The sequence below is a fragment of the Homo sapiens genome, chromosome 1 (genome assembly GCF_000001405.40).
Source record: "Homo sapiens chromosome 1, GRCh38.p14 Primary Assembly".
Taxonomy (NCBI): Eukaryota; Metazoa; Chordata; class Mammalia; order Primates; family Hominidae; genus Homo; species Homo sapiens.
Genome location: NC_000001.11, coordinates 244956445 through 244980183, shown reverse-complemented (window position 1 = coordinate 244980183; position 23739 = coordinate 244956445). Strand labels below are relative to the sequence as shown.

At 42.7% G+C, this 23739-nt stretch overlaps 2 protein-coding genes and 1 long non-coding RNA gene across 21 annotated transcripts in view, besides 6 other annotated features; 2 read left to right on the top strand and 1 right to left on the bottom strand.

The window, feature by feature from the left end:
- Positions 1 to 10502, bottom strand: part of DRC8 (dynein regulatory complex subunit 8) — a 155548-nt gene extending 145046 nt beyond the window's left edge. For 8 of the 19 annotated variants that reach the window (XM_017002539.2, XM_017002540.2, XM_017002538.2 and 5 more), the window contains exons 1-2: positions 9741 to 9855; positions 6757 to 7675 (exon numbers count right to left, since the gene is read on the bottom strand). In XM_017002539.2, the coding sequence (XP_016858028.2) occupies positions 6757 to 6885 (129 nt within the window). In that variant the 5' untranslated portion in view covers positions 6886 to 7675; positions 9741 to 9855. Of the gene's footprint in view, positions 1 to 6756; positions 7676 to 9740; positions 9856 to 10140 lie in introns of those variants that run through there. The other 11 variants (NR_026587.1, XM_047432067.1, XM_047432068.1 and 8 more) reach the window with 3 other exon arrangements.
- Positions 8840 to 9209: an enhancer, noted in NCBI's record as "active region_2849". NCBI's record gives its function as "activates an Ori minimal core promoter by ATAC-STARR-seq in GM12878 lymphoblastoid cells {active_cell/tissue: GM12878}" and the evidence as "EXISTENCE:reporter gene assay evidence [ECO:0000049][PMID:35858748]".
- On the top strand, positions 9315 to 14980 carry EFCAB2-AS1 (EFCAB2 antisense RNA 1). Its single transcript, NR_111907.1, has 2 exons — positions 9315 to 9372; positions 10205 to 14980. It is a non-coding gene; the product is annotated as an EFCAB2 antisense RNA 1 (long non-coding RNA).
- Positions 9380 to 9469: a silencer, noted in NCBI's record as "silent region_2027". NCBI's record gives its function as "represses an Ori minimal core promoter by ATAC-STARR-seq in GM12878 lymphoblastoid cells {active_cell/tissue: GM12878}" and the evidence as "EXISTENCE:reporter gene assay evidence [ECO:0000049][PMID:35858748]".
- Positions 9480 to 9839: a silencer, noted in NCBI's record as "silent region_2026". NCBI's record gives its function as "represses an Ori minimal core promoter by ATAC-STARR-seq in GM12878 lymphoblastoid cells {active_cell/tissue: GM12878}" and the evidence as "EXISTENCE:reporter gene assay evidence [ECO:0000049][PMID:35858748]".
- Positions 9614 to 14980, top strand: LOC124900416 (uncharacterized). Its single transcript, XM_054328428.1, is given in 4 exon segments — positions 9614 to 9858; positions 9860 to 9929; positions 9932 to 13211; positions 14376 to 14980. Coding segments are annotated over 3 exon segments (549 nt in total). The 5' UTR covers positions 9614 to 9646; the 3' UTR covers positions 10199 to 13211; positions 14376 to 14980.
- Positions 9850 to 10029: a silencer, noted in NCBI's record as "silent region_2025". NCBI's record gives its function as "represses an Ori minimal core promoter by ATAC-STARR-seq in GM12878 lymphoblastoid cells {active_cell/tissue: GM12878}" and the evidence as "EXISTENCE:reporter gene assay evidence [ECO:0000049][PMID:35858748]".
- Positions 10300 to 10439: a silencer, noted in NCBI's record as "silent region_2024". NCBI's record gives its function as "represses an Ori minimal core promoter by ATAC-STARR-seq in GM12878 lymphoblastoid cells {active_cell/tissue: GM12878}" and the evidence as "EXISTENCE:reporter gene assay evidence [ECO:0000049][PMID:35858748]".
- Positions 11648 to 12152: an enhancer, noted in NCBI's record as "H3K27ac-H3K4me1 hESC enhancer chr1:245131334-245131838 (GRCh37/hg19 assembly coordinates)". NCBI's record gives its function as "activates a minimal SCP1, AML or CMV promoter by ChIP-STARR-seq in primed H9 embryonic stem cells {active_cell/tissue: H9 hESC(primed)}" and the evidence as "EXISTENCE:reporter gene assay evidence [ECO:0000049][PMID:30033119]".

The window sequence follows — 23739 nt, the reverse complement described above, 5'->3', positions numbered from 1 at the left end:
GCAGTGGCGTGATCTCGGCTCACTGCAACCTCCACCTCCTGGGTCCACGCCATTGTCCTGCCTCAGCCTCCCAAGTACCTGGGACTACAGGCACCTGCCACCACGCCCAGCTAATTTTTTTTTTTTTTTTTTTTTTTTTTTTTAGTAGAGACGGGGTTTCACCGTGTTAGCCAGAATGGTCTTGATCTCCTGACCTCGTGATCCACCTGCCTCGGCCTCCCAAAGTGCTGGGATTACAGGCGTGAGCCACTGCACCCGGCCTTGTTAAAAACTTTTAATCACTCACCAATGCTTTAAGAATAAAAATTCCCACATCTCCTAACCCATCCTAAATTTCGGCCATATTGAGTCTTCACAATTTCAAGTATGTTATTTCTTCTCTTCCTGAAATATCCATCCCCTACTTGTTCTCTGTGCTATTACACCTTCAAGATAAGCCTGGGGCTGGGAGTCGTGGCTCACACCTGTAATACCAACACTTTGGGAGGCCAAGGTGGGCGGATCACATGAGGTCAGGAGTTCCAGACCAGCCTGGCCAACATGGTGAAACCCCGTCTCTACTAAAAATACAAAAATTAGGCCAGGCGCAGTGGCTCACACCTGTAATCCTAGTACTTTGGGAGGCCAAGGCAGGCGGATCATTTGAGGTCAGGAGTTCGAGACCAGACTGGCCAGTATGGTGAAACCCCGTCTACTAAAAATATAAAAAAATGAGCCCAGCATGGTGGCACATGTCTGTAATCCCAGCTACTTGGGAGGCTGAGACATAAGAATCGCTTGAACCCAGGAGGCAGAGGTTGCAGTGAGCCGAGATCACGCCACTGCATTCCAACCTGGGCGACAAGAGCAAGACTACGTCTCAAAAAAAAAAAAAAAAAAAAAAAAAAAAAAGATAAGCTTCGGTTATCTCCTTCAGAAAGCCAACTTTGATTCAACATTCAGCAAATACTGAGCTATATGCCATGCTCTGGGTATATGCATGAGCATGACCCCTATCCTTTTGGAAGTTAAGAGTCTAGGAGAAGCAGACATCAAACAACACATCTACAGGCAATTACAAAATATAGTATGAAAGAGGAAAAAAACAAATAGCTATGAGAGGGAATAAAAAGGGGCTATAATTTAAAGAGGGTGTGTGTGAATCAGGTGACTCTCCCCAGGCACCCAATCATCATACATGTGCAACTATCATAGCACTTATCACATTATTGTATCATTGTCTCCTTAGCTGCCTATCTTCCTCTTTAGATGGAAATTCTTCAAACCAAAGGTCAGATAAATTGACACTAACAAGCAAAATCTTAAAAAGAATAAAAAAAAAGGCAATGTCCAAATTCTAGTCCAGGTTTTTAAACTCCCAATTTTACTAGTGCATTTAAAAAAATAAAATTATGGGCCAGAGGTGGTGGCTCAAGCCTGTAATCCCAGCACTTTGGGAGGCCAAGGTGGTAGGATTGCCTGAGGCCAGGAGTTTGAGACTAGCCTGGGCAACAGAGCAAGATCTTATCTCTACCAAAAATAAAAATGTTAGTTGGGCACAGTGGCACGCCCCTGCAGTCCCAGCTACTTGGGAGGCCAAAGTGGGAAGATCACTTGAGCCCAGAAAGTAGAGGCTACAGTGAGCTGTGATCAAGCCACTGCACCCCAGCCAGGGTGACAGAGTGAGACCTCGTCTCTTTTTTTTTTTTTTTTGAGACGGAGTTCCGCTCTTGTTGCCTAGGCTGGAGTAAAATGGTGCTCTCAGCTCATCACAACCTCCGCCTCCCGGGTTCAAGTGATTCTCCTACCTCAGCCTCCCGAGTAGCTGGGATAACAGGCATGCGCCACCATGCCCAGCTAATTTTGTATTTTTAATAGAGACGGGGTTTTCCCGTGTTGGCCAGGCTGGTCTTGAATTTCCAACCTCAGGCGATCCGCCAGCCTCAGCCTCCCAAAGTGCTGAGATTACAGGCGTGAGCCACTGCGCCCGGCCTAGATCTCATCTCTTAAAAAATAAAAATAAAAACTAAAATTACTTTTTTACAGTCTTAATATCTATAAAATCCATACTAGAGGTTTACAAAGGATTGTCAAGTACAGGATCTGGTAAACACACTTTCACAAGTGGGTAAGAATAATTTTTAATTAGCATATTTAAGTGGGTTTTTAAAGTTTTGTAGAACTGACATTAAAATGAGATTTTAAAAATAAGTGCCCCTAAAAGTCTAATCACCCTGCTATCATCATCATCTCCTGGGCTCCCCCACGTGTCCTTACCCATTTACACATATAATTTTTATATATTTGGCTGCAACCCAACAAGTGGACATACAACCATTTATTTTGTATGCCCCATTAGTTGGACATGCAAATGTTATCTATATTTTCAAATTTATAGATAACTTTATGTTGATCATTTTTGTGCTTAGAGCATTTTTTATTCTTTTCAGAATATATTTCTAAGGATAAATATCCAGAAGTATATTAAAGCTCAAAGCATGTGGACATCACTTTTTATTATTATTTTTTATTTTTTTGGTTTTAAGAAATAGAGAGTTTAACAGGCAAGAAGGAGCAAGAAAGGAGAAGGAAGAAGCTTCCCTGTACAGAGACAGAGGGATGGGGGCTCCAAAGCCAACAGAGGGAACCCCCGACTTCTTTATTATTATTTATTTTATTTTTAGCAAAGATGAGGTCTCAGCATGTTGCCCAGGCTGGTCTCGAACTCCTGGTCTCAAGTAATCCTCCTACCTCAGCCTCCCAAAGTGCTGAGTTTACAGATGTGAGCCACCTTGCCTAGCCATCATCATTTATTCTTCAATACAAATTTCCAAATTGCCTTTGAAAAACAATGTACCATTTCTTTCATTCTGAATGTACTCAACATTTTCTATTTACTAAAATGTGGTAAAATACACATAATGTAAAACTTACTGTATTAACCACTTTTAACCATATAGTTCAATAGTGTTAAGTACCTTCACACTGCTGGGCAACCAATCTCCAGAACTTCCTTCATCTTGCAGAACTGGAACTCTACACTCCTTAAACAACTTCCCATTCTCCTCTCCCCACAGCCCCTGGCAACCAGCAATCTACTTTCTGTCTCCATGAATTTGACTTCTCTAGGTACCTCATGTAAGTGGAATCACAGAGTATTTGTCTTTTTGACTGGCTTATTTCACTTAGCATGATGTCTTTCAGGTTCATTCAAGCGGTAGCATGTGTCAGAATTTCCTCCTTTGAAGGCTGAATAATATTTCACTACACGTATATACCACATTTGGTTTGTTCATTCATCCGCTGATGGACACTTGGCTTGCTTCCACCTTTTACCTACTGTGAACAATGTGCTATGAACATGGTTGTGCAAATATCTCTTCGAGGCCTTGCTTTCAATTACTGTGGATATATACCCACACGTGGAACTGCTGGGTCACATGGTAACTCAACTTTTAACTTTCTGAGGAACCGCCATACCACTTTCCATAGTAGCTGCACCATTTCTCATTGCCACCAACAGTCCACGAGGGTTCCAGTTTCTCCACATCCTCACCAATACTTATTATTTGGGGGACTTCTGGTGATAATAGCCTTCCTAACAGGCGTGAGGTAGTATCTCACTGTCCATTTGATCTTTAAAATTATGACTATTCTTGAGACATTTCTGTAAATTTTATATATCAGAGCAAAAACAAATTTCAGTCCAGTTTTTCTTCAAATTTTTTTTTATTCTGAATAAGAGGAAACAAATTAGGCTTCAAAAAGCTAGTCTTCTTGTTTGCTTAGTCTTAACCGGATATTTATATTGGTCTAAAACAGGAAGAAAACTTATTAAATTACCCCAGAAATATGCAGGAATGCATTATGCATGATCCCAATTGGTAAGACTTAAAAGTTTTCTTAACTCTTATGTTTTATTTGTTTTTTTGTTTTGAGATGGAGTCTTGCTCTGTTGCCTGGGCTGGAGTGCAATGCTGCGATCTAGGCTCACTGCAACCTCCATCCCCCAGGTTCAAGCAATTCTCCTGCCTCAACCTCTAGAGTAGCTGGGATAACAGGCAACCACCACCACACCCAACTAATTTTTGTATTTTTCGTAGAGAGAGCGTTTCACCATGTTGGTCAGGCTGGTCTCGAACTCCTGACCTCAGGTGATCTCCCCACCTCGGCCTCCCAAAGTGCTGGAATTACAAGCAGGAGCCACCACGCCTGGCCAACTCTTATGTTTTATGTTAAGCAGATACTAATACTTACTAATTCACTAGATACGTACCAAACACTTTCTTTCCCATTTATTCAGCATTCCTTTATTGTATTTTTTATTTATTTATTTATTTATTTTGAGACAGAGTCTCACCCTGTTACTCAGGCTGGAGTGCAGTAGTGTGATCTCAGCTCACTGCAACCTCCACCTCCTGGGTTCAAGCGATTCTCCTGCCTCAGCCTCCTGAGTAGTTGGGATTACAGGCACGCGCCACCACACTCAGCTAATTTTTTGTATTTTTAGTAGAGACAGGGTTTCACCATGTTGGCCAGGCTGGTTTTGAACTCCTGACCTCAAGTGATCCACCTGCCTGGGCCTCTCAAAGTGCTAGGATTACAGGCGTGAGCCGGCCTCAGCATTCCTTTGATGCCAGGCACTGTGGCAGGTGCTGGGGATGTAAAAATGAATAAGAAAACATTGTCCCCATTACAACATTATGAAATATTGGGGGTATAATTATCCCCACTTTACATCTGAGGAACTTGAAGCTACTTATGTTTAGCATCTCGGCTAAGATCAGATAATTAGAGCTTGGGGAAGACGGAATTCAAATTCAAGTCTTACTTCAAAGCTCAACCTTTGTACTGTCCCACAGGCTACACTCTATACTATCGACAGTTACTATGAGGCCAGGCAGGGTGGCTCATGCCTGTAATCTCAGCACTTTGGGAGGCCAAGGCAGGCAGATCACTTGAGCTCAAGAGTTCGAGCCAGGCGTGGTGGCTCACGCCTGTAATCCCAGCACTTTGGGAGGCCGAGGTGGGCGGATCACAAGGTCAGGAGATCGAGACCATCCTGGCTAATACGGTGAAACCCCATCACTACTAAAAATACAAAAAATTAGCCGGGCGTGGTGGCAGGCACCTGTAGTCCCAGCTACTCGGGAGGCTGAGGCAGGAGAATGGTGTGAACCTGGGAGGCAGAGCTTGCAGTGAGCCAAGATCGTGCCACTGCACTCCAGCCTGGGCGACAGAGCGAGACTCCATCTCAAAAAAAAAATAAAAATAAAAAAAATAAAGAGTTTGAGACCAGCGTAGCCAACACAGTGAAACCCTGTCTCTACAAATTAAAAAAATTAGTCGGGCATGGTGGCTTGCGCCTGTAGTCCCAGCTACTTGGGAGGCTGAGGTCGGGGGAATCGCTTGAGCCCAGGAGGTCGAGGCTGTAGTGAGCCGTGATGGCACCACTACATTCCAGCTTAGGCAACAGAGGTTGCACCACCACATTCCAGCCTGGGCAGCAGAGCAAGACCCTGTCTCAAAATAAAAGAAGAAAAAAAAAACAAAGACGTTATTTAAGGGAACCCTTTTTATAAAGTAATAGGCACCTGAAATTTCTGTTTTTTACTTTATATTTCCAAATGTTGGGTTTTCAAAAGAGTGGCACAATGAAGGAAATCAGAAACAAAACAACAAACCTTGTAAAACCTCTTCCATTTAGGAGGTGATAATTGAATTAGAGGCACTTTATCAAGCAATGTTATCAAAGCACGCAAAGTAACAAAGAATATTTTAATAGAAACAAAAATAGTAAATCCTAGAGTGAGCTTTTAATATCTGCAGCTTACTAAAAAGTTCTTACTTTCCAAAGCTCACTGGCTGCCAAAAGTTCAAATTTTATAACTAAGCAGTTTGTTTCCTAGACGTGAGTCTAATTACAAACAGAAGATCCTTCCAGTCCTATATAAAATTCTCTAAGAGACAGAAACAATAAGATTTAAGGAGCCAAAGAATCAACAATTGCATTGACTCTCCATTTAAACAGACAAAACAGAAGGAAAAGAAAGAACAAAACAAAAAATGTTCTGGCTGAGGAAACTTTGGAAAAATAATAAACCTTCAAAAATATTTTTTCTCATCCCGTTTCAAACATTCTTCTTTCAGTTAAAAAAGTGGTTTTAAAAATAATTTGGTTCTAAAGGTTAAACTTTTAGCTAATATAATTCTGTATAATTTTTAATCTATGAAAAAATAAATTATACTGTATGAAAGCAAAAAATGCTACAAATAAGTATAACAACTTCAACGTACATAATCTTAGAAAAAAATTTTATGAGCACAATAGCCCCTTCTAATTTAGGTAATTTTTCTTATCAATATTCTCAATACTTCTATCAAAGTTAATCTCTAAATATTGAAGAAGAGTGGATAGGATAGGTACCCTGAAACTTATTCCCCCTTTAGAACTTTTAGAAATCTCAATATTAAGGATGAACTATTTAAAACATATGTGTATTTCTACAATGAGGTTTTTTGTAGTTGTTTTTTAAAGACATGCTAGTGAATACCGTGGCACTGTGAAATAAAACGTTTTGTTGAGCCAGATGGAATAGAAGAATGTATCTTACCGGTAAAGCAGAGGGGAAAAGAGACCTAAAACGAGTTTTGTGTACTTTTAGGTATAGAATAAGTTTGGGGAAAATAGCTAGGAATGCTTTGGTTAAAATCTCATAAGCTGTCTTTGATTAATTCAAATGTTCTGAATTCAACAAATATTTATTGATTACCTACCACGTTCCAAGCACTCTGCACAACACTCAGTATTAACAGATCAGAAATGGTCCCAGATCTTTTGGAACTTAGAGGGTACTGAACACATCCTTCAAAATTATCCTTTCTTTTGTGTGATTCCACGGTCATCAAATGACTTCTGAAATACAAATTCACACTACCCGAAGCTTAGTACCCATAAAACAGTATATTATTATATTAGTATATTGCCAAAATTATTATATTAGTATATTGGCAAAATCAGCCTTCAAGTCAATGTATATACCCTTATTTAAATTAATAAATCATTCAGGTTTGCACATCAGTCTTTTATGAGTTTAGTTGAGTGAATCCTCAAAACTTAATCAATTCTGATTAATTGGTTAGACGTAATTTCTGAAAATTCAAAATACAGTAGCTGACAATCAAATATAGTAATAGACTATTTCCATAAAAAGATCTTACCACCAAAATGAGTCTCTACTTAGTTTATCCTCTAACAAAATGCCTTTATTTCATAATACCCTTCACAAACTGCAATTAGTTAATCCATAAAACTGTTAACAATAAATGAGATACAGCACATGAGTGCTTCTCGAACTTTGTTTTTTGTTTTTGTTTTTTTTTTTTTTTGAGACGGAGTCTTACTCTGTCGCCAGGCTGGAGTGCAGTGGTGTGATCTTGGCTCACTGCAGCCTCCGCCTCCCCGGTTCAAGCAATTCTCCTGTCTCAGCCTCCTGAGTAGCTGGGACTACAGGGCGTGCCACCACGCCCAGCTAATTTTTGTATTTTTAGTAGAGACGGGGTTCACCATGTTGGCCAGGATGGTCTCGATCTCTTGACCTCGTGATCCGCCCGCCTCAGCCTCCCAAAGTGCTGGGATTGCAGGCGTGAGCCACCGCGCCCGGCCTTCTCGAAAGTTAATGTACATACAAATCACCTACAAACATGTTAAAATGAAGACTGATTCATTATTAGGTCGGTGGCAGCCAGTGATGTCCAGGCTGCTGTCCACGGACTACAAGGATACACACCTAGCACAGTGGTTGGCACCCAGACTACTCAGCCCAGTTAACTATTTCCTCCCATTTGTAAATTTCTCATCTCCCTTACTCATCTCACCTTCCTTGGAAGCAAAGACAATGTCTTTCATTTTCGTATCTTTCAAAGTTCTAAGTAGAATGCCTTATCTACATAATGGCATTGAATATATGTATTCTGAATGAATGGCATCCAGCTTTTAACAGTCATTACTTCTATGAGTTATCGACAAAATTGTTTCTCTGAATTTACTTTAAATGGAAAAAAATTGTTCAAAAGCTGAAAAATCAGGAAAGCTCTCAGTTTTTAAAAAACGAGAAATACTGTATTTGTACCATACTCCAGTGCGTTTTTTCTCATGCTGACCTAACCAAGTCTTTTTTAAGAAAATAAATATCCATAATTACCTTGCTAGTTTATCTCCTAATGGCTTTTTTTTTTTTTTTTTTGGTAAAGAACAAAAATAAGCCATCCATTTTTCTGGGAAAGTTTTAAAATTATCCTTTTCTTTGTATGTAAGGGCATCTTCGTAAAGCTAATACCTACAAAATAATCCTGGCTTCTCAGATTAATATTACATAAAAATCACGGTATCCTTGTTATCAATAGAGAGATCGTTGGCAGTTTCATGTGTTTCTTCGCCGATTTTCTGTGATCACCGGAACAAGTGACTAAATATCTCAGGGTTCGTTTCTTCCCTTGTAAATATTAGCTGTTAACCTGACCACACTTGGTTCTATGCTGAGAAAAATGGTTTGAGAGGGTGTTTTGAGCACTCCAGAAAGAAAACAAAGGACGAATATTATTTTCACTTCCTACTTGTTTACCTTTACTGTTTCATGGCTTTTTGGATATTTTTGGGTGACTGCCAACTATCAAACACAATTATTTTTTAGTACCTAAGGGCATGGTAACAAAGGATCGGGTTTTAATCATACCATGAACTGAAAACAACATGAACGGTCTTGCAAATAAACGTAATCACTTTTTGGCTTCTCCGCACAGACAACACATCGATGCCTCCGAACTGGCGACCTTAAGCCTCGAAGCGCAGTCCCGCCTCTGCAGGCGGCCACCGCGCGGGGCTGGGTGGTCCCCTGGGAGAGGCCCGGCCGGCGCACAGCGGTTCCAAGATCTCAACCAGGTTTTGGTTTTTCGTCGTTATTAAAATTGCTGTTTGGGTGTGTGTCTTTTTTTTTTTTTAAGACAAGACACTAGGCCAATTGCGCGGCGCTAGCCGGCGGCGGGGCAGGCATTTCGGAGGACCGGGAAGCTCGGAGGCAGCGGCTGTGACCTCCAGACCGTCCTCCTGCGTCCTCATTAAGGAGGCAAAATGGTGGCCGCGAACGCCATCAGGCTGCGCCAGCGCGGGGTTTCGGCGCAAACAGAGGATCCCGTCAGATTCAGGCGGCCAGAACTCCTCCTCACCCAGGCCACCCCCCGGGGCCCACAGCCTGGACAGCTACGGGCGTGGCGCCTGCGGCACCGAGACCCCAGGCGAGAGTGTGGAGGCGGCGGCGGCTTCCCCGCGACCGTGAACAACGACGCCATTATCAGCACCCCCTGCCGGCGCCTCCGGCGCAGCCCGCGCAGGATGCAAGGCCCGGCCTCCGAGGGAGGGGGAAGGAGGACGGGGCGGGAGGAGGGGAAGAGGGTGAAGAGGGCGGGAGGAGAAAGAAGAAGGCGGGAGGAGGGGAGAGAGAAGAGGGAGGGAAGAGGGGAGAGAGGCGGGGCGGGGCGGGGGAGAGAGGCGGGGCGGGGCGGGGCGGAGCGGCGGGCCGGGCGGGCTACGGGGACGGGGGCAGGGCGACTGCTGCTGCCGGGTGGCCCCCTCCTCAGGCCGCCCTTTCCCTGCGGGTGGGAACTCCAGATGGACGAGGGCCCACCCCACCCGGCGCTTCCCCGTGCAGCCCGGGGTCGCGGCGGGCGGCGAGGGCAGCGGCTCCCCGGCTCCCCTACCTTACCTTCCCTGTCCTTCTCGTCCGCCATCTTGCTGCGGAGCCGGTCGCCTGGGAGATGCCTAACGATAACCTCGGCCGCGGTGTCCCGGCCTGCTCAGCGCCCCGCGGCGAGCCTGGCCTGGAGGAGGGGCCGCTCTGAATCCCGGGGGAGGAAGACCCTTGGGCGGGGCGGGGCGGGGAGGAGGCTCCGAGCGCGCGCCCTGTCCCCGTTTCGCGCCACGACCCTCGCGCTGGGGGAAGACCAGAGGCCCCGTCTGCCACCCGGCCCCCGGCCTTGTCCCTCCAGACCCGAGGCCGGAGCCGGACTTGTCCCGGGCCTAGCATGTTGCTTCATCACACGGTCCCCAACCCCTCCTTTCCCTTATTTCTCATCCATTTGGGGACAGCACGCGCGCGCACACACCCCTCGCCCCCTCCTGTCCTGTTTGTGCGACGTGGCGTTGCTCGATTTTTGTTGTTAACTGCAGATTTTGAAAAGCGCCGGAGAGCTAGGTGAAGAGCTGGGCTCCCAAGGGGGTGATAGAACCAGCCCGCGGCCCGGCCTCCTCCTCCCGCTTCCCATTCGCAGCCCGCCTCCCGCCGGGAAGCGGCCCGGCTGCTGCAGAACGGCCGCGCCTGCCCTCCCGGTTTCTCCCGTCCAGTCTTCACCGTCCTTTCCCAGAGAAAGCGACAGCACAGCCTATGACAACCGAAGCTAAAACGGAAAAACTGGGCCGGGCGCAAGAGGAAACCAGAGCCATTCGACTATTGCTAGAGGAGAGGAATAGCTGCAGGAAAACATGCGCAAAATAGCACAAACATTGCGTCGTCAAGGCTGCAATGTCTAATACAAAATAGAAGGTTCTCATAGCAACAAAAACGTGCCCATGTTGTGCTCAGTATTACATGCGTTAAAATGTTCTTAGTTGTGAAATTTGACATGACCGCTAGTTAAAGTTACAATGGAAGTTTTAAATCCCGCTTTCCGAAAACTTTGCAGCTATAGCATGAAGTTAAATTTTTGTCTTATTTTCTGGATAAGTTTACTATACTGGAACATAGTAAAGCTCTTTTTATAAAGAGCTTTGAATAAAATACCTAATGATGTGGTTGAAACGAACACCTATTTTCAAAACTAATCTTAAGTGGTATTTCAGTGCATATGTTATGTAAAAGCAATTTATAAACTAAATTTTAAGAGCCTTCAAAATACAAGGTACTCGTATTTAATGACTTAACAGTTTTAATGCTTTTATTGTTTCTATAATCTCTCAGGAAATCCTAAAACTGACTATATTTTTCTTTATTAAAATAACTTTTTCTGTAGAAGATACCCATTTGGCGCTGTGATCAGCATTCTACTTGAAATTGAATATAAACAACTGAATCATTACAAAATGGCTCATGTTAGAAGATACTTAAAACGAATACAATCTTGTACAGTAAATGTTTAACACCCCAAAATAACGAAAAGTAATTATTAGCATTCATTTATATCTAAATCTCAGTCAATATGATCTAAATATTTGTGTTTAAAGACTCCCCCTTTCCATATAGATAATGAAGGGCTTTGAAATAAGTGTAGGAAACCCTAAGTTTGGTCTCAGGCTTCCTATTCATTCACTATGCTTTTTCGTGTGCTGTTTACAGTTTCCTTTTTCTGGAATGCCTTTCCCTGCTTTTTTCCCCCGCCAACATTTCAGCTTCCCACAGACACACATTTGTGCCCTCCTGGTTGTCCTGCAGGATGACCTTTGTTTTTGTTTTTGTCTTTTGTTTTTCGAGACAGGGTCTCGCTCTGTCGTCCAGGATGGAGTGCAGTGGTGTGATCTCTGCTCACTGCAACTTCCGCCTCCCGGTCTCAAGTGACCCTCCCACCGCAACCTCCCAAGTAGCTGGGAGGAGCGGCGCGCGCCACCATGTCTGGCTAGTTTTTGTATTTTTTGTAGAGACAGAGTTTCCCCATGTTGCCCAGGCTGCTCTCAAACTCCTGAGCTCAAGCGATCTGCCGCCTGCCTGGCCCTCCCAAAGTTCTGGGATTACAGGTGTGAGCCACTGTGCCTGGCCAGGATGACCTTTTTGAAGTCACCTAGTCATTGAAGCTTTCCCTCTCAGCCTTTTCCTCTGTGGCCCCATGCTTATAGAGCCTCCCACATTGATTTGCAGTGCCTTCGTTCGTTCACTTTATTTCCACCTACCAAACAGTAAGATCTTGAAGACAGAAACGGCATTATTCGTTTATATATCCCCGGTATCTAGTACAATTTTTCTGTTTGCAATAATAAATGTCTTAAAACTTAAGAAAGGAGTAAGTCTTCTCAATGACTTTTTTTAAAAAAGACCCAGATTCAGCACTTATTGTATGTAAGACAGACCTTCCTTTTACATTACATTTTTCATCAGTAAAAGTACTGGGCCAGGCGCGGTGGCTCACGCATAATCTCAGCACTTTGGGAGGCTGAAGCGGGTGGATCACTTCAGGTCATGAGTTAAAGACCCACCTGGCCAACATGGTAAAACCCCATCTCTACTAAAAATAGAAAAATTAGCCGAATGTGGTGGCTCACGCCTGTAATCCCAGCTACTCGGGAGGCTGAGACAGAAGAATCGCTTGAACCCAGGAGGCAGAGGTTGCAGTGAGCCGAGATCCGCCACTGCACTCCAGCCCAGATGACAGAGCAAGACTCCATCCCCAAAAAAAGGTACTAGTATTTCATGTTAATAAAATGGAATTCTTATATAAACATATATAAATTAAAAATTATTTTAAGAGTTGAACAGATTTCTCTGCAAATCCCCCTATATTTTTATATTTTTTAAACTAACTGTATTCAGCAAAGCTTTTTATTATTTAATTTATTCCAAACCACATTAATCAGTATTTCTCTGAACTCCTACAGCACATTTAAAACAGTACTGTTTCTCTAGGTGTGGGTGAGTAAAAAAATATTTAATATATGTTAATTAACTTCCGCATCTCCTGACCCCACTAAGGTTTGAATAGGAGCCTCCCCCTTTATAAACCCTTTTTATATACCCACACTACCTAGCCTAATTGGGGCACATATTAGCTGCTTCATACATACTTTTCAACTGCCTAATTTGCTGATTAGGCATAAAAGTATATAATTCTGGAAAAGTCTCCACAAGGTGAAAATGATTATCCAAATAATAAAGGCCCACAATGCCAGTGAGTACATTATCTGCATTATGCTGATATTTGACTCCTTTCAACTCTCTTTGGTTGTAGAAACATGACCGATGATTATATTACACTTTTAACTCTTTAAATATTATTAGCTTGCTTTGGACTGTGGAAAACTAACTACAATCATTTTTATTCCTCAGAATATATTTTGCGGCCGGGCACGGTGGCTCATGCCTGTATACCCAGCACTTTGGGAGGCCGAGGTGGGCAGATCACGAGGCCAGGAGTTCGAGACCAACCTGGCCAATATGGTGTAACCCCGTCTCTACTAAAAGTACAAACATTAGGTGGGCATAGTGCTGCAAGCCTGTAGTCCTAGCTACTCAGGAGGCTGAGGCAGAAGAATCACTTGAACCCAGGAGGCAGAGGTTGCAGTGAGCCAAGATCATGGCATTGCACTCCAGCCTGGGTGACAGAGCAAGACTCCATCTTAAAAAATATATATATATATATAGATAGATAGATAGATAGATGTATATATACATATACGTATACATATACGTATATGTATACGTATACATATATGTAGAGTATATATACATCTACGTATATGTATACTCTACATATATGTGTATATATACATATATACTCTACATATATACACATATATATGTATATGGCTTCTGAGCTATAGCTTGAGTAACTTGTTAACTTGTAATACTTGAGTAACTTGTAATATTGTATGCTGCCAAAGCATTTTTTCACTTAAACATCTCATCGTGATTTTCAGAAATTTAGAATCGGAAAATCGTTTTTGATCCCACTCATGGATATATAAACTTAGGGCTAAATCAGAAAAGCAAGCACATAGTTTTAGACAATGACACTTATTTGCTTAATTACTCTATGGAGCCAGGTGGATATGTACAGGTTATGTCCTTTTGCATGCTTGAATTTATAGTGAGTTGAATCTGTTCAGACAGCCATCAGTGATGTGTCCGTGAGGAACACAGAAAATGTTTCTTTTTGTTTAAAGGAATTTATTTATTTACTTATTTTTACTTTTTTTTAATCATACTTTAAGTTCTAGGATACATGTGCACAACGTGCAGGTTTGTTACGTATGTATATATGTGCCATGTTGGTGTGCTGGACCCATTAACTCGTCGTTTACATTCGGTATATCTCCTAATGCTATCCCTCCCCTCTCCCCCCAAAAATGTTTCTTTTGAATGCAGTTGACTCAGTTACCTAAGATGTGAGTGAAGTGGAAAGGGTAAGTGGTGGGAATAATGCAAAATGATAGTTTAAAAATCCTTCATGCCCTGTTTACTTTCCTAATATGGAGATAATTGAAATCTGGACTGGGAATAATTTTTTTTTAAAAAAACTGGATTTTCCTTGGGCATTGCCATTTACTAATCTCATGATCCTGGGCGAGTCATGTAATCTCTTTAAAACTTATTAACTCATAAAAATAGAAGTAACAATGTCCAAACTTCCTATTTTAGAGTTTTCACGAGGCGCAATAGATGTAACTGAAAGCTTCGAGAAGTTTAAAGGACTTGCAAGGAAATCTACTGAAATAAGCCCCATTCCACCTGGGCAGAAGCACTCAGACGCCAAACCCCACCTTCTGTCCTGAAATTCACCTTCCACTAGGAGAGTTTGCTTTTCTAATGCTTCAAATGCACAACGGGAGATGTTCTGACTTCAGGGTTTCTACCCTTCACTGCTGTAATCTGCTGCCTGTATGACATGCGATCTGGTTTACACCGTACAGCTTATCATCTTCAGCTTGTGGCCCCTTCCTTGTTTCCACCTTGCTATTCAGGAGGGCCTGTAAGGGTATCTGGATTCCTTGAGCTGTAGATGCAGGACAGTGAGAGGGAGGGAGGTAGTTCTCTGGTCTAATTTCAGTTTCCTAACTGAGGGTACATGCCTTCCCTGAATGATCATCATCAAAAATATCCAGCCCTTCATGGAAGACACCACCCCTCCTCATAGATGAGTCCCTGAGCTTATGATCTCAAAAGGAAATCCTTATCAGAATACAACAGAATAAGGACATAGTTTCATTACAGTTATAATAATAAAAGTAGTTCTTCTTTATTAAGCTGCATGAGGTACTTTGTATTGTATTAGTATTCACGTTTCACAGATAAAAATACCACATCTTCACATAAATGGCTTGGTTAAAGCTCACAGCCAGTAAATAAGAGAGCTGGTTAGGAATCTAGTTCTGATTTCAGAGTCACTGTTTTGTCTGTCTGTTTGTTTGTTTGTTTCTTTGTTTGAGACAAAGTCTCGCTCTGTTGCCCAAGCTGGAGTGCAGTGGTGGGCTCACTGCAGCCTTGACCTCCCAGACTCAAGTCATTCTCCCACTTCAGCCTCCCAAGTAGCTGGGACTACAGGTGTGCTAACCAGGATTAACCATGGCCAGCTAATTTTTTATTTTTTGTAAAGATGGAGTCTCCCTATGTTGTCCTGACTGGTCTTGAACTCCTGACCTCAAGCAATCCTACCTCAGCCTCCTAAAGTGCTGAGATTACAGGCATGAGCCACTGGGCCCAGCCATCACTGTTTTTCTGCTTCTTTATAAAATAAGATATTGTTAGATCCTTTCAATAACCCAAATATTTAGAGAAGAATGTTAAGAGCAAACATTCTCCACAGAATTAGTCACCTCTCTCTCTGCTTTTCTTTCTTTTTTACTGCTTCAAAATATCAACCCAAGCATCTGGCAGAGACTCTTAGAGACTTGAAAGAACCAGATAGTGGCATGCACTTTGTCCTCGTCTGGAAAGACAAAGAGGGAAACTAAACGTCTGGCCGGATGCTGGCTCTTGGAAGGCAGGAGTGGAGGCGAAATTTACTCCTCTACCATGAGCTAGTAGTGGGCTCTCGCCTTCATACTTCTCTTTCCTTCCCGCCTTTCTGCAGCTTTAGGTTTCAGGCCTCTCAGTCAAGAGGGAGAAATTTAATTGTGTTAAATTCTTGGCCCTGGACAAGATCATTTTCAGTGCCAAAGCTCGTTCAGGCTTTCCAGGGAGACCCGGCACAGGAAGCCCGGGTGGCAGCATTTGTGGGCAGCTTGCGAGTAACACTTACATGAAACCACAGCTCTTAAAGCATTTGGAAAAATCACACGCTGGCCCTGTTTCTCTCAAAAGCACATGTTCCTTTATGTTTCTCTTTAATATAGACCTTGACACAGCAAGTCACGATTTAATTCATTACTTAAACACTTCCTATCCCAACCAGCATTTTTCAGGCACACTTATTGCCAGGCTAAGTCTCTGTTCTTTATTTATTGAAAATAAAACCTTAAAGGTGAAGGATGGTAGCTGATCCAAAGATTCAATACGTGTTTATGGTTGCTCACACGACCTCTTCGTCCTCATGTGTAAAAATAGAGGAAAAGTGTAAAAATATGCTGCTAATTGATTTTGGAATGTTTTGTTAGTTCCAGCTCCAAAAATAAATCTTTGAAATTAGGTTTCATTTATGTTAACATTTACATCAGGAGATAATGCTGTATAGAAGAACAAGGAAATGGTCTTAGGAGGTAAAGGGGTCCAGGATTGAATCTCAGTCCACTACTCATTAGCTAGAAAACTTTGGACATGTTACTTCCTCTCTGTAACATCAGTTTCCCCATCTGTAAAATGGAGATAAGAAGATGAGTCACCATTTTTGTTTTTGTTTTTTTGAGGCAGTCTCACTCTGTCACTCAGGCTAGAGTATAGTGGTGCAATCTCGGCTCACTGAAACCTCTGCCTCCTGGGTTCAAGCAATTCTTGTGCCTCAGCCTCCTGAGTAGCAGAAATTACAAGCGTGTGCCGCCATGCTCTGGCTGGTCTCAAATTCCTGACCTCAAGTGATCCATCCAACTCAGCCTCCCACAGTGCTGGGGTTACGGGCGTGAGCCACTGTGTCCGGCCTTGATTCACCATTTTGGACATGGAGGCAATCTATAGTTCTCTCTTACTTGTGGCTTGATTTGATTTTAATTTTAATTTATTTATTAATTTTGTGAGACATAGTCTCACTCTGTCACCCAGGCTGGAGTGCACTGGCACCATCTCGGCTCACTGCAAACTCTGCCTCCTGGGTTCAAGCAATTCTCATACCTCAGGCTCCCAAGTAGCTGGAATTACAGGCATGCAGCCACCACGCCCAGATAATATTTGTATTTTCAGTAGAGATGGAGGTTTCACCATGTTGGCCAGGCTGGTCTTGAACTCCTGGCCTCAAATGATCCACCCACCTTGGCCTTCCAAAGTGCTGGGATTACAGGTGTGAGCCACCGCACCAGGCCTTGATTTACTTTTTCTGGACTATGTCCGTGTCACCCTCCAGTGACTCGAGGGCCAATAGTGGTAATGTTTGGAGCATTTACTGTGTTCTAGGAAGTATGTCAAGCATTTTACATGGACTATCTTATGTAATCATCACAATAGCCCTGTAAGAAATATACTAATATTTCCATATGAAACATGAGGAAACCAAGAGTTAAGATCCCCAAATTGCTTCTCTGAAAGGCAAAGCCTCTCTACTGCTCAGCCCCAAGAGTCTCTTCCAGGTTGTGCCTCAGAATCTTACTCTGGATTTTTTCTTTTCCTCCGTGTATCAAGCCCCAGGGGCTTAGCCTGCTTTTCTCCCCCGGAGGGAGGCATACACCATCCAATGGGGTGACAGATGAGGGGCACTGTGAAGGGGGCTAGAGTCCCCCAATCTTTCTAGCTTCCACCCTCCTTGTTACCCTTGAATGTAATCATGTACTTTTTTAAAAAAAAAAAATTATTTAAAGAGTTTTACTGCTGAGCTATGGGGAAAGAGATAGGATAATAAAATTAGCAAGCAGAAATATTATAAAGGTTCTGGAATGTTAGAAAATTTTTACAAACATGGCTCCTGATTCAGAAAGTTCGTGAGTCCCTCTGAGATGGTAAGAGGAGATGCCTGACACGTGGCACACGTGGCTTCTCTGTCACCTGACCATTCCAATGCTGCCAGCACTATAATTAATTTTCCTTCCCAGAGTTTCCCCAGATGAATGGTAGTCCATGAGGCTCTGACAGGACAAAGGAAAAATATCCTGGGTCTGAATAAACAGTTATATGTATACAGTATGTAGATTTTTATTTTTATTTTATTATTATTATTATTATTATTATGAGACAGAGTCTCTCTCTTTCGCCCAGGCTGGAGTGCAGTAGCATGATCTCGGCTCACTGCAACCTCTGCCTCCTGGGTTCAAGTGATTCTCCTGCCTCAGCCTCCCAAGTAGCTGGGATTACAGGCATGCGCCACCATGCCTGGCTAATTTTTGTATTTTTAGTAGAGACGGGGTTTTGCTATGTTGGCCAGGCTGGTCTCAAACTCCTGACCTCAAGTGATCCACCCTCTTCAGCCTCCCAAAGTGTTAGGATTGCAGACATGAGCCACTGTGCCCGGCAGTATGTGGATTTTTAAATTGCAATACGCATTCAACAAGCAGATAAGTAGTAAAAACTGAATTTGTACTATGTTTTATATTATGAGCAATTACAATACTATTTTGAGCCTTAAAATTGACCAGAAAATTGAGCCAGACACGGTGGCTCATGCCTCCTTTGGGAGGCTGAGAGACAGGAGGATTGCTTGAGGCCAGGAGTTCGAGGTTAATGATCTTGCCACTGTACTGCGTACCTGTGTGACAGTGAAACCTTGTATCTTATTTTTTTAAAAGGTTACAGTAGAGGTGGGGCAAGGAAAAAAATTGAGCAGAGAATGACTCAATGCAGTACCTGACCTTGACTGTGCAGGCCTGGGTTATGGACACTTACACTTAATAAGATGCTTAAGAATAAAAATCAGTTGAGACTAAATATTCTTGTGAGTTGGAAGCTAACTCCTTCCTAAAGTCCCACATTACCTAGTAACTACCCTAGAACAAGCATCTGCAGCCCCATTTTCAACAGAGAACGTCACTACGCAATGCAGTGCAAACACGTAACAGTAAAACATCTTCACAGTTTGGCTGGGTTTTTCTCTACACTCTTCCCCCACCCTTACCCCCCGCCCCGCCTTTTTTTTTCAGGTCAGCTATATTTTCAAGGAGGTAAGGGAAGGTGTGAGACTTGGAAATGAATAGTGGTGACAGGAGTGAGAAGTTAGAAAAGGAAGTTATTTTTAGGAAGGCTTGGATGGAAGGGAAAAGTGAGTTGCATTTGGGGCATGGAGCTAGGGGAAGTCAGGCCAAGGGACAGCTGGGTAACTGTTGAAGGGTTTACTTCATTCTCTAGTGCCTCTCATTTCTTACATATTCGTAATCCTTCCTCACCAAGTAGTAAAAGGAAGGCAGGCACAAACTCCTGGGGGGGCTCTTGTTCATTTTAGCCTCCCTCTCCAGTCTTGGAGGGGGACGATTCACTCGGCATTCAGAAAATGCTTCTGGAGCACCTACTAGGTGCAGGACTGTCTTCTAGGTCCAACAGGGAGTACACAAACCTGATAACTGCTCTGCAGTTGCTGAGGTCCTTTTACAGCTGGTAACAATGACCCACAAACTTGAGACACTCACCCACCAAAACTACATTCTCCTTCAAATAGTATACAGCATGTATACTATGCCCTCATCATGGCCACAGCATACCCAGCAATGGTTTGTATCTACCTTTTTTGAAAATTATCAACTGGCAATCCAAAATGCCATAGAAGTGTCATCAGAATAGACTAATAGTATCTTTCCCAGGAGACAAGTGGTGAGGTATTCCTATTTGTAAAAAGCAAGGGATTAGGGATTTAAGTAATTTGGCTAAGTTTATTCACTAAGTTATTTTATTTCGGTGCCTTAAGTGGGTCTCAAGGCCTTTGAATTTGTAGACCTTTAAGTAGAATATTAACTAGAAATTTCATACTAGTTGTGGCTTATTTGAAACCAAATAACTAAACCTAGCACTTTATTTTTTTGCCTTGATCGTACGTTTTTCATGTTATATGATTAGGGCAAATACAATTTTTTAAAAAAAGGATATAACCAAGAATTTAATACTTTTAAAACTAATGGCAACAAACACAAAACCTTCCCTAAATCATCTTAAAAAACCATGCCTATGCAGAATTGAGGCTCCTGTATAGCTTCTTTTTAACGCCTTTCTCTTTAAAATATGAGTGCTCATAAGACTATGACCCTGTCTTTCTTTGTATTGTTATTGTTTAATGATCACTTTAACAATGAACGGCAACGATGGGAAAGCCAGGCCCTAGACACCTGGATTTTATTTCTATTTTTGCCCCAGTGTCATTTAGGAATGTTAGGCCTCTACGCCCCCCTTTCTTTAAAACGGGTATGACATTTTTACCACTTAATACTTATGCTTTGAAATCTTAGGATAATCATTGTCTATTTTCCGTAAGTATCACCTAGTAATAACACTAATAGAATTTGGGGATCAGCCGGGCGCGGTGGCTCACGCCTGTCATCCCAGCACTTTGGGAGGCCGAGGCGGGCGGATCATGAGGTCAGGAGATCGAGACCATCCTGGCCAACACGGTGAAACTCCGTCTCTACTAAAAATACAAAAAATTAGCCAGGCGTGGTGGCGGGCGCCTGTAGTCCCAGCTACTCGGGAGGCTGAGGCAGGAGAATGGCGTGAACCCGGGTGGCGGAGCTTGCAGTGAGCCGAGATCGCGCCCCTGCACTCCAGCCGGGGCGACAGAGCGAGACTCCGTCTCAAAAAAAAAAAAAAAAAAAGAATTTGGGGATCAAAAATGTGAAATAGGATCACTGTGTTGATAATGTTAAGGGCAAATTTCACTTCCAATCCAGGGCCTAGACACCTACATGCCCTCCATATCTGTACTAAACCATAAATGGGCCAAACTGTCCAACCTTGACCGCTCCTGGCCCTTAATGCTTCATCATAGTCCGTAGCAAAACACTATTGCTAAGATAAAGTAGAAGAGAGTGATCTCAGCTAGACACATTCCTATTTTTAAAGAGGACTATGCTTCAATATCATTCTATCTTTGCTTTTACTATTAGACTTTATCTTTAGAGCAGATTTAGCTTTACAAAATAATTAAGCAAAATGTAGAGTTCCCCTATACCTCCTTTCTGCCTGCCTCCCCACCGGTCTCCCCTATTAGTAACATTTTAAATTAGTGTAGGCTGGGCACGGTGGCTTTTGCCTGTAATCCCAACACTTTGGGAGGCCGAGGTGGGCGGATCACGAGGTCAGGAGTTTGAGATCGGGCAGGCCAACATGGCAAAACCCCGTCTCTACTAAAAACACAAAAAATTAGCTGGGCGTGGTGGTGTGCACTTGTAATCCCAGCTACTCCAGAGGCTGAAGCAAGAGAATCACTTGAACCTGGGAGATGGAGGTTGCAGTGAGCTGAGATCACACCATTGCACTCCAGCCTGAGTGACAGAGCAAGAACCCCCTCTCAAAAAAAAATAAACAAATGAATTAGTGTAACCCATTCTTTTTATTCTATAACACTCACCCGTGCACGCACGTATGTGTGGGTGTGGTCTTGGACTTCAGGCCTCAGGCAATCCTCCCACTTCAGCCTCCTGAGTAGGTGGGACTACAGGCACACACCACTGAATCCAGTTTATTTGATAATTTTTAAATAATTAGAGAGAGCTATTGCTTCCGCAAATAAGAAAATAAGTATTTTAGTGAGCTTAAGCAGTCAGACCTATTAGCTACCAACAGAAGAATTACTTTGGCACCATTTATACCCAAACTAAAATCATTGTATTTGATAGGAATGCTTATATTTAAATAGCTGTTCAGCTAGTTGGGGGCATAATTTGCAACAAACATGGTAAAGAAAGCCCTAAACTTTTCACACTAAACCGTAGACTGAGGCTCTACTCCCAACTCTTCCCTCAGCTGGTGACTTTGGCTGAATCTCTGTGGAACTCTGAGTTGGATTAGAAAATCTAAAAGAGACCTTTCCAGTTCAAAATTTTATTAATTGATTAATACTTTGTTTTCCAAAGTGAGTGGAAGGCTATTTTATGTGGCTCATGATTTTAATTTATTTATATAGTTGTTTTTATTTTAAGGTATATTTAAACATCTGCCTCAAACTCAGATTTCACAGATATCATTGCTTACGATGAGACTATGTTTTAAAAATTGGACAATTTATGTCAAATTAAAGAAAATGTTGGTATCTAATAGTACAAGTAACATGGACCTGACAAAAATCAGAAGTGAAGGGTGGCTAGGTACAGTGGCTTACACATGTAATCTCAGCGCTTTGGGAGGCCAAAGGCAGTAGGGTGGCTTGAGTCCAGGAGTTCGAGGCTGCAGTAAGCTATGATCATGCCACCGCACTCCAGCCTGGGAGGAGACAGAGAGAGAGAAAAAAGAAGTAAAGTGTATTAGTTCATTCTCGAATTGCTGTAAAGAACTACCCAAGACTGGATAATGTATAAAGAAAAGAGGTTTAACTGACTCACAGTCCAACAGGCTGTACAGGAAGCATGGCTGGGGAGGCCTCAGGAAATTTACAATCACGGCAGAGGGTGAAGGGGAAGCAGCACCTGTGATGAGGCTGGAGAAAGGGGAAGAGGGAGCAGGGGGAGGGACTACACACCTTTAAACAACCAGATCACGAGAGAACTCACTCACTATCACGAGAACAGCAAGGGGGAAATCCACCTCCATGATCCCATCACCTCCCACCAGGACCCTCCTCCAACATGGGGGATTACAATTCGACATGAGATTTGGGCGGGGACAGAAATCCAAACCATATCATAATGTATAACTGAAAAAATTCAGGAAATACTGGATTAATTAATATATTCATCCATCCAAGACATCCATCTCCACGTCGAAGAGAGCTGTGTCCCAGAACTCTTTTTTTAAACCTAAATAATTTGGCTCAATTAATGAACAAGTACCTTGGACTCTACAGGTGAAAGAAAGCACAATAAGAAAAGTATTCGGTTGGTGCAAAAGTAATTGCTGTTTTGCCATTAAAAGTAATGGCAAAAACCGCAATTAATTTTGCACCAACCTAATACTATATCAGAGAAATGCTTGCAAGTTAAGTAGCACAGACCAGGAGCGATTAAATCTGATTCCAAAATCCCTCCAACAGTTCCTGAAACTAGACAAAGTTTACAGGGCCAATTTGCAAATAAAGAGAAGGGCTGAATTAACCGGTCTTAACTTTTTTCATGGTATAACAATTTCCTTATATTATGTGGCATATGTAATCTGACATATTAACCATGAACTTATCCAAGTATTCAAGTTCATCCATAGCTCTTTCCTAAGTAAAATGCTGTCATGATTCTATCTTTAGGCAACCTTATTCCCTGCAGCACCAACTGGCCTTGCATCTGGGAGGACAGCAGAAATTTCTTTTTACATTTTTTCATTATTTATTTATTTATTTTATTGAGACAGGAGTTTCACTCTGTTGCCCTGGCTGGTCTCGAACTCCTGGGCTCAAGCGATCCTCCTGCCTTAGCCTCCCAAAGTGCTGGGATTACAGGTGTGCTCCACCGTGCCCAGCTTAGAAATTTGACTCTTATTTCCATTTGAGATTTCCTTCCCTTACCTCAAGTATCTAAAGCATGTTTTGTTTGTTTGTTTGTTTTTGTTTTTTGTTCTTTTTTCAGAGACAGAGTTTCACTCTGGTTGCCCAGGCTGGAGTGCAATGGCATGATCTTGACTCACTGCAACTTCCACCTCCCAGATTCAAGCGATTCTCCTGCTTCAGCCTCCCCAGTAGCTGGGATTACAGGCATGCGCCACCACACCCGGATAATTTTTGTATTATTAGTAGAGATGGGGTTTCTCCATGTTGGTCAGGCTGGTCTCAAACTCCCAACCTCAGGTGATCAGCCCATCTCGG